We start from the raw sequence: 17,422 nt of genomic DNA on the forward strand, positions 1-17,422 counted from the left end.
ATCAATAAACAAACCAACCAATTAGGGGGGAGACACAATTCAATCTATAGCACCAACATGAAGGAAATGACCGTCAGTATAATATTTACTGAGTGTGTACTATATTCCAGGAGTTGTATTATCATTATTTAATCTTTAAACAGCCATGTGAGAAAGGCATTATCCTCTCATATCAGAGATGAGAACGTAAAGCTCATTAACAGTAATTACCTTGCTGAAGGACACACAGCTAGCAAGTCGTAAAACAAAGATTCAGCCCTAGGTCTCTCTGACTCCAACTTCCACCCTCCTGAAACTCATCTGCTCTGCTCCTTATTTCATTAGATGACAGACTTTATTATAAAGTTTATTATAAACTACATAGACAGACTATAACTGCCAAGGGCCAGAGAGAGAGAGAGATTAATAAGATCAGGAGTAGATTCCATTAAGGAAATGGGCTTTAAACGGAGCCCTTAGGACAGAGTTGGTCTGGGGTATACAGAAAGAAGAGGGAGGAGGAGCAGGTAAAGCCAGCATGAACCATGTGCACCATGCAAGGTGAATTCTGCAGGGCAGGGCAGGCACCCACCTGCGTCTAGCAGCGGCACACTACAGAGAAGCAACATGAAATAAGGTGGCTAAATGGGGCTGGGCACAGTGGCTCATGCCTGTAATCCCAGCACTTGGGGCAGCCCAGGTGGGTGGATCACCTGCGGTCACAAGTTCAAGACCAGCCTAGCCAACATGATGAAACTCTGTCTCTACTAAAAATACAAAAATTAGCCTAGGCGTGGTGGCGTGCACCTGTAGTCCCAGCTCCTTGGGAGGCTGAGGCAGGAGAATCGCTTGAACCCAGGAGGTGGAGGTTGCAGTGAGCCGAGATTGCGACATTGCACTCCAGCCTGGGCAACAGAACAAGATTCCGTCTTGGAGGGAAGATAGCCTAAATGGGCGAACACACACTCCATGGGGCCTGGAAAGTCAGGGAGGAGATGAGAACTCACTTCCATGGATGGCAGCAATCACTGAGGCCATCTGAGCAAAGGATACAGTAATGACAGTGCCCAGGCTACCAGGACAGAGCCTGGAGACAGTGAACGCTGCACCTGCAACTCAGGGATGGAAGAGTGGGGCCGCTGCAAGCAGGGTGTGGGATGCTGCTGGGTGTGGGCCACAGGGCCCAAGAGCTTGGCTCTGCCCTTATCAAGTTATCAGGGTCAGCGCCTAGGAAGCCAGGAGAATGAATGCGCCATTGACTTACTCAGCAGAACCTCTGGAGCCCCCTGCACACAGCGCTGTCCCAAGCACTGGGTTAGACTGACTGTGAAGCTTACATTTAGAGGAGACACGTGATGAACAAGTCACAGATAAATGTGTAAATGCACCTGGAGCTAAGTGTTGCCAGGAAGGCGAGCAGGAGGGCTCAGAGAAGACCTCTCTGAAGGGGTGTCATTAAAGCTGGACCCTGATAAATAAGGTGCCAGCTTGATGAGAAGCAGGAAAATCAAGAAGAAGATGCATGAGAGAGGCCAAGAGAAAAGCCCTTGAGCAGGGAAGACATGATGAAACTGGATGGATCACAGACACCAGGGGTGGGAGACGAGGCTGCTACCAGTGGCTCAACAGCACCAGCAGAGCACAGGCCCCGCACTGTGACACCAGGCAGAGTTCAGCAAGGGATCCCAGAAAACCAAAGTCGGGTGATCCAGAAACAGAAAACTGGGCCATCTGAGGCTCTGGGAAGAGAACTCAGAGATTCAGGAAATACTACAAGGGCTGATTTTGGAGACTGGGTGACTGGGTGCTTGCTCTTGTGAAAAGGAAATGCTGATCCAGGCAGACTCCAGCAGGGAGAGCTGCAGCCTGAGGGGAACTTACAGGCCCGTTTGGGAGGAATTTGTCTTTATGGACAATTCCTCTTTTTTCCCATCTCTGATTCTTTCCTGCAAACGAATTTGGAAGTAAAATGTATGAAAGTGAAAAAAACTTACATGTTACAATGTGCATCTCTTAGGTATAAAGAACTATTCCCTTTTTTAGAGTACTTAAAACAAAAAAAAAAGAAAGATTATAAAATCTCTAAATATACCTAATGTCTCAGACTCAAGCATCCACAATTACTTCACAGCATTTCATGAACACCCTTTCATTCTATCCTTTCCCTTCACAGCGGTAGATCCCACAAGCGCCCAATCAAGACCAAAGATTCACGCCAATTGATTTCCCTCTTTCTCAATTGATGTGTTTAGGAGAATTACGCTCTTTCTAACTCCTATTATTAACCTTTTTAATTTGTCACTTTCATTTTAATAAAACAAGGGCAAAGCACATAAACAATTCAAATGATTGCACAAATAAACCGTGCTATAAAGACAAAGACGGAAAAACTGGTGAAATTGATCTGCTGGCTGGCAGGCCACGGTGGGATGGCTAGAAATAGTCACTTGTTGATGTGTAGGTGGCCAAATTCACCATACAAAGGGTAGCTTGGGGGCATCAATATACGATCTTAGCAAATCCACCAGTCATCTCACAGAAATGACCCTACCGGGTCAGAGGTGACTCCTGTCCTTTGGCCCACAGCAGAGGGCTGGACTCAAGGAACAATAAGGCTCTTTACAACTACAAAATGTCATAAAATAAATCCTTGTTTTTCACTTTTATAAACAAAAAAAAAAATTCTGGCCAGGCACAGTGGCTCACACCTGCTATCCCAGCACTTTGGGAGGCCGAGGTGGGCAGATCACATGCACTCAGGAGTTCGAGACCAGCCTGGGCAACACAGTGAGACCTCATCTTTACAAAAATAATAATAATAATAATTAGCCAGGCATAGTGACACAAGCCTGTAGTCCTAGCTATTTGGGAGGCTGAGGTGGGAGGATTGCTTGAGCCTGGGACGTTGAGGCTGCTGTGAGCCAAGGTCATGCCACTGCACTCCAGCTAAAATGACAGAGTGAGACTCCCTTTAAAAAAAAAAAAAATATGCACTGGGCATGTTTTCAGCCATATGTTTCAATAGATCTCTCTCGTTCTCTTTCTCTCTCTCTCTCTCTCTCTATATATATATAAATATTATCTATATAATTTTATATGTATAAATAATATAATTTAATACATATAATTTTTTAAGTAAGGAAAACTATTACTTTAAGAAAATGATAAAGCAGTGAAATCCACTAATGTATTTTTCAATCAGGAGACTATGTTCAGGGATTTTCTCTAAGCTGCTTTTTAAAAAAAAAAAAAAAAAAAGGAAATCTCAACACAGAGCTGACAATTAGCTTTTTCTTCAAACTGACGAGCAGTATCATTTAGTAGTGGCTACTACAAAATTCTTATTATTGAATGTGCCTTTATTCTAGGGGGGAAAGCCTAGCAAAATAAAACAGCAGGTATTACAGAAAATAAAAATGGCCCAAGGAAGCTCCAAAGTAATTGAATCTACTCGTATGACCAAAATCTCCAGAAACCCTTCCAGAGAGTCCCTTGCCCTCCCCTGCAGATGCTGTAAGAGGTGCCTCGGTTGAAGTTCTGAGGGTGAGAGCTGCCCCCGCAGCTTGCAGGACTAAGACCCTCTCTAAGGCCAAGTTCAGACTTACACTTAGTCCAGTTTCTCCCACAGTTCCTGTACTTATTATTTAGGAAAGAGGGTCACTGAGAGAAGCCCAAAGCCTCAGAACAGATGAGTCGAAGACAGGGTAGGCAGACAGTGTCTCGAGAAACTCCTTTCTCCAGTTGCTAAGGTTAACGGTAGATCCAGCCCACCACAGTCCAGAGGTGAAGAGGACCGGCATACAGAAAACTGTCTTTCCTTATTTATGTGTGGTCTTCCGAGGCCAATTACAGAGGGTGAAAACTTTGTAAGAGAAAATCACCTTGAACCCAAGGAACAGTCCAAATGCCCATCACCAGCCCCAGACTGACCTTGGTTTTCAAGGGCGGTAAGTGAATCCTCCTCCTCGAAAAACAGACTGTGTTAAAGGGCACGACTGTGTCTCAGAAATAAAATACGGTTACATTGGGCAAATGGAGGACACCTGACAAAAGTGCCTTCAGATGTTTAGTAAAACCAAGGTCATACAAACACTGAGTCATCGTGAACAAAGCAGCCAGTACGTTCATATTTCCAAAGACAGGCATCCCGTCCCTCTGCCTCTGTACCAAGAATTCAGCCAACTTGGGCATTCACAGTTGTGCAAACCGAGTCTTATTATTTCATGGTTCAACCAAAAGGATCTGCTGCAGAAGAACACGCTCCCCCAAACAAAGGCTGCTTCTTCCCAGTTCAAGGTTTAACTAGGCCCTGAATAAGAAATGTTGGGCAGGTATTGCATCTTATTGTACCAATTCAAGCCTCAGCACCAAGTGCATGAAAAATAAGCGACAGTCCCCAAATACAGCCTGGTTGGTTGGTGCCACCGTGCTCTCTGCTTGCAGGCTATGTAGCTAATAAAACTGGAACCCTGGCCGGGCGCGGTGGCTCATGCCTGTAATCCTGGCACTTTGGGAGGCCGAGGTGGGTGGACTGCTTGAGCTCAGGATTTCAAGACCAACCTGGGCAACATGGCCAAACCCCATCTCTACTAAAATGTAAAAGAAATTAGCCAGGCATGGCGGCATGTGCCCATATTCCCAGCTACTCAGGAGGCTGAGGCGGGAGAATTGCTTGAACCCAGGAGGTGGAAGTTGCAGTGAGCTGAGATGGCACCACTGCAATCCAACCTGGAACCCTATAAACTCTTTCCATTTTGTTGTCAAGATCTGTGATCCCTTCATTCCCCATCAAAAAATGGAGAGGAAAAAAACCCAAACCATCTGCCCCCTAACTTTATGGCATTTCTTTAATGTGAACCCAGTTAGGTTTCAAATATGTTCCCATAGGCAGCATTAGGAGGGAGAGAAGTTCTAAGCCCAGGAGACCTGAGTTCTGGATCCAAATCTATCACCAGCCCCCACTGCGTGGCTGTGAGCACCTCTCTGGATCGTTCCCTCCTCTGTAAAAGGACACAATCCCACTGCATATTCCTAAGTACCTTCCATTAGGTTTTATTCCTGAAGTCTCTCAGTGTAGGCAGAAACTCATAACTCACTGCTACTTCTTTCTGTTGCTCTGTTCCCAGGGCTGCTGTAACCAAGTGCCACAAGCCGGATGGCCCCAACAATAGAAATGTATTTCCTCACTGTTCGGGAGGCTTGAAGCCTAAAATCCAGGTGTCAGCAGGGCTGGTCCCTTCTAGAAGCTGGGAGACAGAATCTGTTCTACGACCCTCTCTGGTGATGTCAGAATCCTTGCTGTTCCTAGGCTTGCAGAGCCATCACTCCAACCCCTGCCCTCACACTCACACGGTGCTCTCCCCTGCACATGTGTCTGTGTCTCGTCTTTTTTTTTTTTTTTTTTTTTGAGATGGAGTCTCATTCTGTCACCCGGGCTGGAGTACAGAGGTGCAATCTCAGCTCACTGCAACCTCCGACCCCCAGGTTCAAGCAATTCTCCTGCCGCAGCCTCCTGAATAGCTGGGATTACAGGTACAGACCACCACGCCCAGCTAATTTTTTTTTTTTTTTTTGAGACAGCATCTCGCTCTGTCGCCCAGGCTGGAGTGCAGCAGCATGATATCAGTTCAGTGCAACCTCCGCCCCCAAGGTTCAAGAGATTCTTCTGCCTCAGCCTCCCGAGTAGCTGGGACTACAGGCACGTACCACCACGCCCGGCTAATTTTTGTATTTTTAGTAGAAATGGGGTTTCACCATATTGGCCAGACTGGTCTCAAACTCCTGACCTCGTGATCCGCCCACTTCGGCCTCCCACAGTGCTGGGGTTACAGGCATGAGCCACCGTGCCCGGCTTAATTTTTGTATTTTTAGTAGAGATGGGGTTTCACCATGTTGGCCAGGCTGGTCTCGAACTCCTGACCTCAGGCAATCCACCCACCTCAGCCTCTCAAAATGCTGGGATTACAGGCATGAGCCACCCCACCTGGCCTCCTCTCTTCTTTTTATAAGAATGCCAGTTACATTGGATTACAAACCACCCTGATCCAGTGTGACCTCATTTTAACTTGATTACATCTTTTCCAAATAAGGTCACATTCGTGGTACCAGAGATGAGAACTTCAACATTATCTTTCTGAGGGATACAACTCACCCCTGAACACCTGCTTACACAGGAAACGCACAGAGTGCCACAAGACATCCAGCCACAGGACTGTGGGAATAAGCTGCCATTTCTGAACAGATTATCTGAAAACATTCATGGCTGTCTCTGAAGTGCTGAGGGTGAGCGTTGTTGTCAATCTCCCATGGCCACATGGCGGCCAGAAACGGAGCTCCCCCATAAACCACCACACCTCAGCACCAGGGTATACAAATGGCACAAACTGTGCACGCCACACACTTCACACAGAGGGAAAAAAGATCAGTTGGGATTACATTTCATAAGACTCAACCACTGCTAACAAAATAACCATCTGGCAATAAATCACACCTGCAGAGATGGCAGGCTTGTCCAGAGTGAGGCAGAAATGACACACTGACAGTTACAGAGGGGCAAAAGTAGAGGAGAAAGAGCCCAGAGGTACAACTTGTCTAGAGCAGGAAACTGGGTGGGGACAAGGGAAGATCACAAGTACATTTCATAGCCCCCTGACTTCATTGGGAGTTGTGGATAATTTATAAAGACACAGATTTGTTTTCTCGCAGTCTGGAAGCTGGGAAGTCCAAGATGGAAGGGTTGGCATCTGGTGAGGGCCTTCTTGCTCCATTATCCCATGGTGGGAAGTGGAAGGGCAAAGAGGGGAGTGGGAGAGAGAGAAAGGGGGCCAAAACTCATCCTTTTATAAGGAACCCACTCCCACAATCATGGCATTTATCGATCCATGAAGGTGGTGCCCCCATGACCCAAACACCTTCTATTAGACCCTAACTCCCAACACCACCACAATGGGGATCGACGTTCTTTTTTTTTTTTTTTTTTTTTTGAGATGGAGTTTCACTCTTGTTGCCCAGGCTGGGGTGCAACTCACTGAAACCTCTGCCTCCCGAGTTCAAGCAATTCTCCTGCCTCAGCCTCCCTGGTAGCTGCGATTACAGGTGCCCACCACCACGCCCAGCTAATTTTTTTTGTATTTTTAGTAGAGATGGGGTTTCGCCATGTTGGCCAGGCTGGTCTCGAACTCCTGACCTCAGGTGATCAGCCCACCTCAACCTCCCAAAGTGCTGTGATTACGGGTGTGAGCCACTGCGCCCAGTCTCAACTTTCTAATACATGAAGTTTGGGGGACACATTCAAACCACAGCAGGAGTTTAGTAAAGCTTTTTGATAAAGAAAATGACATCATCAAGAGAAGTGTACAGAGAGAAAGAAAAACAACAACAATGCTCAACGTGGACATGCCTGGCCTAGGGCATCTGGCCAGATACATGCATGCGCTGAGCGCCCTCACAGCCATGAACACACCTGGGATTCCAGGAATAGGATACCTGAAGTTACTATTCTCTAATCCCGGGGTCCCATTAGCATTGGGGAAATGGTCAGAAGAGCTAGATTCCAACTGCTGTGAGACACAGGAAAGGACGAGGAACCTAGTAGGCCCCAGGGATACAGATCATTGGAAGCACAGCTAGTGACTCCCCAACTAAGGGATCTCCTAGAATTGTAATAACAGCATAGGAGAGGGCTTTGAAAATCACACACAACCCATCCGGGTTTTCTGCTATGGAAAGGCTCTTCTGCAGAGTTAGAATTATGAGGACAGGATTTTATTCTGACACTTCCCCAAAGCCTTTTGGAAATCACGCGTTCATGTGCAACATTGTTATGTAAGCTGCCACATCTAGCTCCTTTGCTTTGGGCAGAAATATTCTCAACACACCCTATGGACACTGGTTATCTGATGCTGGTCACAGCCTGTGACTGATGCTCATGTGTCTAACAAAAGCACAGAATAAGGAGGAGAATAAAAGAGTCCCCTGTGGCAAGTAGTTCAGGAACACGTGTCCGGGACAATTCTGCTTACAGATGAATGATTAATTAAACATACTGAATGAACACAGTGGGCCCACAAGAGAAGGTTTACTGAATTGAATGGAGGAATCTAAGGTTCAGAGAGGTACACAGCTGGTTAGCAACCAAATTAGCAATAAAACCCAGATCTCCTAACACCTAGTTCAATGCTCAGTACAGCATCCAAGCTTTCTCTCTCACCAATTTGTGTAAAATGAAGCAGCACTCACACCCTCTCCTGCCCAGCACAGCATCTCATATGCCTGACATACACGAAGGTGTACAATGACTATTTCTTCATGTGTCTGTCTCTCCCACTAGACTAGAAATTCCTGGTGGACAGAAACTATACCTTCATCATCCGGCTTTCCTGATGCCTAGCATAAGCCTGTTTACAAGCATGGAATCAACATTAGCTGGATGGATGAACAAGTTATGAGAAAGTTTAGGATACCACACAGGAGTAGTGTAATTACCTTATTACTATTTATTAATATTAATATTATTATTTCTGGGAAAAAATGCCTGCCCAATATAAGCTGATCTCTAAGGCTGGAGGGGGGGGAGTTTCAAAGTAAGTCAAAGAACCAAAGATAATGAACATAGAGTTTATCAAGACAGACAGTTAAGTAAAAAATTTTCTAAGAGTCTTCCAGTCACACTTGTCACTACTTCTGGGAAATATGCAAACTCTCCACATAACATCAGCACCAAGAAGCAGATCAGGTCCTTTGCTCACCAGGAAGGATCTGTGTGGATTTCATCAATGGCTAAATACTAATAGGCAGGTAATGCAAAATAGTGTCCAGAGACTCATTCGAAGGCTAAAATTCAAGGACATTCTGAGTAATCAATGAAACAAAAATTTATAGGTTAAAGCATACTCTCAAAGACTTAAGCACATTTTCAGAAGTTACAAACAGAAATGAAAAATCACTTATAAAAACTGAGTATATTCAGTGACCCAAACTAAGATGTAGGAAGGAAAACAAATCCCACATAAATAACACCAGTTTATGTCCACTTCCAGTTAATCAGAGTCCTTGAAGAAGAGGTGAAGCAATGCACTGATGCAGAGAAAAGAGCATCAGGCCAAGGGGCAGCTGACCAAGGCTTTCGGCACAGATCTGTGGGTTTTACCAAGTCACTTTCACTGGACCCCAGATTCTTCATGTATAAACCAAGATCATCTTCCAGGATCCCAGCAAAAAGAACTCTATCAGAGTATGATGGGGACCACATCAGTCAAATCCAGGTACAGATGCTGGACTGGAGCATCAAGAAGCCACTGCTGGCTGGGCACGGTGGCTCATGCCTGTAATCCCAGCACTTTGGGAGGCGAGGCGGGTGGATCACGAGGTCAGGAGTTCAAGACCAGCCTGGCCAACATGGTGAAACCCCGTCTCTACTAAGAATACAAAAATTAGATGGGTGTGGTGGCAGATGCCTGTAATCCCAGCTACTTGGGAGGCTGAGACAGGAGAATCGCTTGAAACCAGAAGGCGGAGGTTGCAGTGAGCTGAGATTGTGCCACTGCACTCCAGCCTGGGCAACAGGAGTGAAACTCCATCTCAAAAAAAAAAAAAAAAAAACTTAAAATGAGAAATATGCTGCAGTAGACTTTTTTTTTTTTCCTTATTTGTTAGTGCACAAATCTGGTCCAAGTCAGTTAAAGCTATGGAAAATCAGCGACTGCTGTGGCCTTTTTCTCCATAAATTTCTGGGCAGCAAGAATCTCTGCTGTCACTATGCACAATAGCAAAGCCATGGAATCAACCTAAGTCCCATTAATGACAGATTGCATAAAGATGTGGGACATATACACCATGGAATACTATGCAGCCATAAACATAAATGAGATCACGTCTTTTACGGGAACATGGATGCAGCTGGAGGCCATTATCCTCAGTAAACTAACACAGGAACAGAAAACCAAATACCACATGTTCTCACTTATAAGTGGGAGCTAAATGATGAGAACACATGGACACATAGTAGGGAGCAACACACACTGGGGCCTATTGGAGGGTGGAGGGTGGGAGGAGGGAGAAGATCAGGAAAAAACTATTGGTTACTAGGCTTATACCTAGGTGGTGAAATAATCTGTACAACAAACCCCTGTGACATGAGTTTATCTATATAACAAACCTGCACATGTACCCCCAAACCTAAAATAAAAGTTAAAAAAAAAAAAAAAAAAAGAATCCCTGCTGTGGAGACCGAGGCTCTGCAAGAACCTCTAGGGCATCAGAAGGAAGCACTTGACTCCTTTGTCTGTGCTGTGGCTAGGCTCAGAAACGTCTGAGGACCCCCTACCACCTTAGGGGGAAAGTCTGGGCTCCCTGGCACTCAAAACCCCCCAGTCTAGCTCAGCCTACCTTCCCAAACTTATTTCTCTCTCTATCCCACTGTGACCCTTTGTTTTAGCCAATTAGAGTGAAGGAGGAGCAAGGAAGTGTCAGACCTTGGCTAAAAATATCTGGCTGTGTCAATTTAGCAAGCCACTGAACCTCTCTGAGCTTCAGTTTCCCCATCTGCAAAGAGCATATAATACCTGCTTATAGTTGTTAAAAAGATGTAAGACCATGGATACAAATGCCTCACATGACTCCAAACAGCACCCAGCAGGTCCTATGGAAATGTCACTTCCCACTTTCACACTCAGTCTTCCCCCTTATGCGTCCCTACCTCTGGACAAGCCACGTCTGATGACTCAAGGGACCTCCTCTCTCCCTGTCGCCAGCCCCAGTCTGACTATCCTGAAGGAACCAGCTAATAAAATGCTGTCTTCAGGATTCTTCCAGTGGCACTGCTAAACCTTAGGAGTCCCCTTCTCCTTTGGCTTCCCCAACCACATAATTCTGGCCTTTGCCCAATCCCCTGGCAACTGGCAGAAGCCACTCTGTAGCCTTCCTGGTCTCTTTTTATTTTGTTGAGTATCCTCCACCAGAGTTTTGTCATCCCCAGTCCCCAGGATAAAGTAATTATATTTTCCCCTATTTTGAAAATAACGCAATGATGCGGGCTAGTGCATAACAGTCAGCAAGAACTATTACCAAACCTCCTGATCTTGACTATTAGGACAACTTGTATTGGACAGCTGACATTTATTTCTGTCTGGATCGGGGGCTAGAGTTCATAATTTCTGGTAATCGCTCAACCCTGTGATTACGGGCACTTTGAGGGCAGCTGACAGGGAGAAGTAGTCACCAAAGAAAAGCTTTGCTAGTTTGGGAATTGCCAGCCCCCAATTTATAAACTTGGAATGAAAGAAAGATGAAGGCACCATGGAGATGACAAGAAAACGGAGGTTCAAGATAGTCCCCATGTTCTCTGGCATGTTAATCCTCATCACCTAGAAGAGGTATTCTGAGGGGACAGAGGGAAAAAGAAAGCACAAAATATTCCAAAGTTCCATATTACTTTTCTTTTCATTAGTACTGGGCTGGGCACGGTGGCTTAACACCTGTAATCCCAGCACTTTGGAAGGCTGAAGCGGCCAGATCACCTGAGGTCGGGAGTTCAAGACCAGCCTGACCAACATGGAGAAACCCTGTCTCTACTAAAAATACAAAATTAGCCACGCATGGTGGCACATGCCTGTAATCCCAGCTACTCGGGAGGCTAAGCAGGAGAATCGCTTGAACCCAGGAGGCGGAGGTTGTGGTGAGCCAAGATCGTGCCATTGCACTCCAGCCTGGGCAACAAGAGTAAAACTTCATCTCAAATCAGCCAATCAATCAATAAAATGGTCTTCAAATGATCAAAGGCTTTCCTGAATTTTTTTGTTGTTGCAGATATGTTTCAGACTCAAGCCCCAGCCCAACCCCAGATGAAGGGATTTTCCGAGCAGCTATCTTGATCCGGTGCACAGGCCCCTGTTCTGACCAGGGCTGAACGCTTGGCCCAGGAAAAGGACAAGTCCTAGTATCTAAAAATGATGACAAAGACAAGGCGCAGAGATGATGGTGCTGATGCCACTGGGCACTGGAACCATCACATCACAGGGACTGGCACCAACATCCCAGCAGGGCAAGCCAACAGTGTGAGAAGGCAGGAATCAAGAGCACACAGAGGGAGCTGGGCTGCAAAGAGGAGGCTAGAACAGATCCTCAGAGAAAGGCAGAGATGAGTGTCCACGTGGCCGCAGAGGAACAGAGGAGGCACTTCCAATGGCCGTGGACCTGAGATATGCTTTGTTGCTCTCTGACACTGCTCCCGCTCCATGGGACTGGCTGTTATGTTTTTGGGACAAGTACCCTTTTACTTAAGCCAACTCGAGTGACTCTCTTGTCCTTGCAACCAAATGTACCCTTGACTGTAACATTCTCCTTTGAGCTAAACTAAATAAATTCTGCCAGGAGATCCCTCTTGTAATCTATTTCAACTGACAGCGACTACTTTTGTCTGATTTATTACAGCTGTAAGCCCTTCCTTCTGGAAGGGGGAGGGGCTGCGATCTCTTTTAAAGCTAGACCAATTTTACACTGGCAGGGGCCGTGTGTGCGGCTCTACATTACAGCGCCCTACAGGATGCATCTAAACTAGTTTGGTCAGCTTATCCATTCCCTGAAAGCAAGGAAGCCGCCACATCAGTAACTCCGTTGCTAAGGCAACTGCTTACTTTCCATATCAACTGCAAACTCGTTGCTATGGAGACACATATACAAGAAAAATTCCTCTTTCCATCCAGGGACCAGATGGCAGAGAACTCGCAGAAGCCATGGGTTAGGGGGCTTTGCTAAGTAAGATGTTTACTGGAGTACATTTCTCTCCTGATATCAGAGATGCGGCTGCCCCAAGCACATTTAGAAGTTGCACTCTTGGTACAAAAGTAAAGGTTTGTTCTCTTCTGCCTGCAAAACTACAGCCAGCAACTAGAGGTAAGTTATTGCTGAAATAATTCTGAGAGGGTCTCCCTCTAAATGTAAACCTCTTTTGTTCTTATTTCCCATGCTGAATATACCCCAAAATGAATTTCCTAGTCAAACACTAATGGAAATACAATTTCCTGTAAGAACTGAAATAGAGGTTTGATTTCACTCTTTTTGATTGAGAGGTAATCCAGAAATCTCTTTATTTTCCAACACCTATGCACTGTGTTTCAGATTTATACCTCCACCCGAATGTCTCCACAGAGCTTGAAACTCATATAGGAAACTTCCTGACAGCTCCACTTAGATGTCCGCAAACCATCTCAAATTTAACATGGTCAAAAGAGAATGTTGGCACTAACGCCCATCCAATTTCCCAACCCAAATTTGCCCACACATGTTCATCTGCAACCCCCAACCCTGGCTCAAGCTAGCATCACTCCCACCATCTCTCTCTTGCACCACTGGAACAAGCCCCAGAGAGGTAGATCCCCTTCCTGTCCTTTAGACATAACATTCTCCCCTTTCTAATACACTAACTGCGACCCCTCTTTCTGTTCCTTGGACATTTTGAGCCATTGCCACCTCAGGGCCTTTGCACTTGCTGTTCTCTCTGCCCAGATCTTTGCATAGCTGCATCCCTCTTGCCATTCAAGGCACGGCCTAGTCAGATCCTCTGAGAAGCCTCCCACCATCCCACCCTCCTCCCCTAGTACATTATCCTGTTTTATATCTTCATTGCATGTAACACAATCTGGTACATTACCTACCCTGTCCATGGAAGGAACTACTATTTACCACTTGCCTCCTCCTCCTCCCCTACCCTCACTGCTACCCTATGGAAGGTCTAGGAGAGCAGCCAGGGACCCGCCAGAGGTCACCACTGTATCCTCAGCACCCAAAACAGTGCCTGGCACTCCACAAACAAGGGTAGCACGAATGAACCACTGCTGAAAATGCTTCTAAAATGACTGAAGCCACTTATTTTCATAAATACAGAGTCCAATTTTTACTTTGCAAACTAGGGGCCAGACATAATGGCTCATGCCTGTAATCCCAGCACTTTGGGAGGTTGAGGCGGGCGGATCACCTGAGGTCAGGAGTTCAAGACCAGCCTGGCCAACATGGTGAAACCCCGTTTTCACTAAAAACAGAAAAATTAGCTGGGCATGGTGGCATGAGCCTGTAATCCCAGCTACTCAGGAGGCTGAGGCAGAAGAATCACTTGAAGCCAGGAGGTGGAGGTTGCAGTGAGCTGAGATGGCGCCATTGGCACTCCAGCCTGGGTGACTCAACAGCAACAACAACAACAGTAGGTATTCTGCAAGACCTCAGAACCATAGCTGCAAACACCAGTTCTCAACTTTACAAGCCTCAAAGGAATTCGGCACACAGTGCGGTATTCCAGGAGTACCTACTGTGATGCTATGCCTTACCTCTGTGCCAGGCTCCCTGTACCTTGATTCTTGGAGATTCGGGACTTTTCTTCCCCCTCTACTATAGCCACGATTAGAGTCAGCGCTCACATGACTTGGCCTTCTAAAAACAAAGCATGTGCACATGTTCTGCTAGGTGGGTGTTTTCTGTCTAATGACATTAGTTAAATCACTTATCGGTCCTGTCCCTCGAGGAGGACAGTCACAGCCTTCTATGAAGCACTTCACAGAACTCCAATAAATAGAAAGAAGACACTGAACTCGACCCCACGGGGCCCAGAGGGAAATCCCACACACCCTGTGAAGACCAAAGGAAGAAAAGGAAGGGTAATTGGAGAGCTTTTTCCCCTGGGAAGCGTATAGCCTCTCTGCCTGTATTTACTGTCTCCTGCTGAGTTCACAAGGAAAGGTACTCAAACAAGCACACACACACACATACACAAATCAAAGACTTCATCCTGTTCATGGAACTGTCTGTAATCTTACATAGCAATCCATCAAGTTATTACTAAAAGAACGACTTCACACTACTCTCTATCTTCAACCATCTATTTCCTTGCTTTTCTTCTTATCATCCTTGGCACAGACTACATCTTCACCTCAATCAAGCTACCGCTTTTGATGACACTAAATGCAATTTAACCAGAATCTCTTAAAGCAAAACCTTGGTTATTTGGAATGTTTAAAAAATGGGTCAGCATCTCTGCTTTACTTAAGTTACCAATGCAATGTAAAGTTTTCCATTTAGCATCCTAGCTCCTCCAACAGTCCCTATTCTTATTTACATAACCTTCCAGCCACCATCTCTCTCCGTCCTTTCCTCTGACGCTGTTCCAACACATCCCTGGGGTCCAGTAACATTTGCCTCCTAAACATCTAGACCTTTGTGACAGAAAGTTCCAAGTTTGCTTGGCAACAGAATCAACATTTAACTTGGGGTTCCAATGGATCAGGCAAAAGAGTCCATTTCCCAGGCTTCCTTGCAGCTAGAAGTCATGTGACCAAGCTCTAGCCAATAAGATCAAAGCAGAGGGTGGGGTTTCTGGGAAAGCCCCTTAAAACCAGAAGTCAGCAAGACTCCCTCCTGTCCTTCCCTGCACTCCCCTTCTTGCTTCCTAAAATGGGAACATGCTAGCTGATGCCATCTTGGACCATGAGAAGACTGAGAATGGAAACCCGCAATGCCCTAAGAACAGCAGAGAAGAGGGAATGTGCGTCTCTGTCTAGCTCCTCAAGACTTCTTTCATGTAATGGAGAAATACGCCCCTAGCTTGTTTAAATCATTGTTAATTGGTTTTCTACAATAAACACTCAAGCCTCCTTCTGATCAATCCATCCTTGGAGGTCTAATGCTCATTCCCACACCCGAAGAATGCTTTGTAACAGCTTATTCAAGTGAACATAAGGAATATTCAAAACTCGCCCATCACTATCTTTTAGCTTACCCAGTGCCCCTCTTTGGGAAAGGGAAGCCAGCCTAACTTTGAATGATACCAATCTCACACTGATCGGCACACTTCCAGTACTTACGGTAACTTATTCTTTTTTATTTTGCATTATGTTTCCTGCTTCCCTGGAATGTAAACTACTAAGAGTACAAAAAGCAAGAATCAAATCACATTTTTTTTTTTTAATTTTTTGTTGTTGTTGGAGACATGGTCTCACTCTGTCGCCCAGGCTGGAATGCAGTGGTGCGATCATGGCTCACCGTAGCCTCCACCTCCCGGGTTCAAGCGATTCTCCAGCCTCAGGAGAGTAGCTGGGACTACAGGCACATGCCACCATGCCCAATTAATCTCTGTATTTTTTGTAGAGACAGGGTTTCACCATGTTGCCTAGGCTGGTCTCGAACTCCTGGGCTCAAAGTGATCCGCCCCACCTCGGCTTCCCAAAGTGCTAGGATTACAGGCGTGAGCCACCACGCCCAGCCTAAACTCATAACTTTCAAATAGGAGGTCAGAGTGCCAACTTCCTATGTTATTTACTGCAGAGAATTATCCTGCAGCCAAAATGATTTCAAAGGGAAATCCCAGCCCAATGGGGAAGGTTCTGAAAACCATTTCTTGCTGGTTGGATATACAGGCAGTACATCGATGAAGTATCTGGTAGACCTATCCAGGTGCCACAAAGCCCTACCAAAGAGAATGCAACATTTTCTCAATAGGAAACAGGGGGAGATACTGGACAGATACATTGATAGGGCCCTCGGGCCCAGAAGCTTTCCCAGCAGCCTCAGACAGACCCCTATCCAGGTTAGTGGCATCTTCCTGGCCAAGTCACTGTGAGGAGTAGAAAGGTAGTGTATCCATGAAGGGCCAGAAAAGCAACGATGTGAGACAGAAAACAGAGAATACAAAGGGCATACAGCAGTGGAGTAAGAGCTTCTGCTAGAGAAGTTCCACTAGTGAGAGGGAGACTCTGAGGGGAGGGCTCGCTGGACCATGAGTGCCTTACAGGCAGTGGCCATGGTACATTCAATTCTGTATTCTTTTAGCACTTAGTAGGTACTTTAAAAAGTTTGTTGAATAAATGAATGAATGAGCAGACAAATGAAAGGTTTGCCAGAGCAAGACAACGGAAATGTGCCCCCACCCAAGACACCTACTGACTGGAAGAAGAAGGAACGAACAGTCTGGAAGGAACAAATCAGCAGGATGGGGCTGCGCACGGTGGCTCACGGCTGTAATCTCAGCACTTTGGGAGGCCGAGGCGGGCAGATCACAAGGTCAGGAGTTCGAGACCAGCCTGACCAACAAACACCCTGTCTCCACTAAAAATACAAAAATTAGCTGGGTGTGGTGGCACGCACCTGTAATCCCAGCTATTCAGGAGGATGAGGCAGGAGAATCGCTTGAACCTGGGAAGGCGGAGGTTGCAGTGAGCCGAGATTGCACCACTGCACTCCAGCCTGGGTGACAGAGCGAGACTCTGTCTCAAAAAAAAAAAAAAAAAAAAAAAAAATCGGCAGGATGGGTCAGGGAGCTGCGCTTTCTTGGGATCACAGGATGCTGGTATGAATGGCTTCCTATTCCAGGGCCTGTGACAAGGGAGTATTTTTATTTCTGGCCCCTCAGAGACCCTGGTAAACTCTCAACCTTCTGAGGTGACATAGCCTATAGCACAGA

The 17,422-nt window shown here is 46.1% G+C and overlaps 1 protein-coding gene across 2 annotated transcripts in view, besides 3 other annotated features; it reads right to left on the bottom strand.

Annotated features, from left to right (window-relative positions):
• Positions 1 to 17,422, bottom strand: part of FOXN3 (forkhead box N3) — a 462,989-nt gene that overhangs the window by 231,096 nt on the left and 214,471 nt on the right. The window lies entirely within an intron of this gene.
• Positions 4,477 to 4,977: an enhancer, noted in NCBI's record as "H3K4me1 hESC enhancer chr14:89858093-89858593 (GRCh37/hg19 assembly coordinates)". NCBI's record gives its function as "activates a minimal SCP1, AML or CMV promoter by ChIP-STARR-seq in primed H9 embryonic stem cells {active_cell/tissue: H9 hESC(primed)}" and the evidence as "EXISTENCE:reporter gene assay evidence [ECO:0000049][PMID:30033119]".
• Positions 12,051 to 12,621: an enhancer, noted in NCBI's record as "H3K27ac-H3K4me1 hESC enhancer chr14:89865667-89866237 (GRCh37/hg19 assembly coordinates)". NCBI's record gives its function as "activates a minimal SCP1, AML or CMV promoter by ChIP-STARR-seq in primed H9 embryonic stem cells {active_cell/tissue: H9 hESC(primed)}" and the evidence as "EXISTENCE:reporter gene assay evidence [ECO:0000049][PMID:30033119]".
• Positions 15,648 to 16,148: an enhancer, noted in NCBI's record as "H3K4me1 hESC enhancer chr14:89869264-89869764 (GRCh37/hg19 assembly coordinates)". NCBI's record gives its function as "activates a minimal SCP1, AML or CMV promoter by ChIP-STARR-seq in naive H9 embryonic stem cells {active_cell/tissue: H9 hESC(naive)}" and the evidence as "EXISTENCE:reporter gene assay evidence [ECO:0000049][PMID:30033119]".

The sequence above is a fragment of the Homo sapiens genome, chromosome 14, assembly GCF_000001405.40.
Source record: "Homo sapiens chromosome 14, GRCh38.p14 Primary Assembly".
Lineage (NCBI taxonomy): Eukaryota > Metazoa > Chordata > Mammalia > Primates > Hominidae > Homo > Homo sapiens.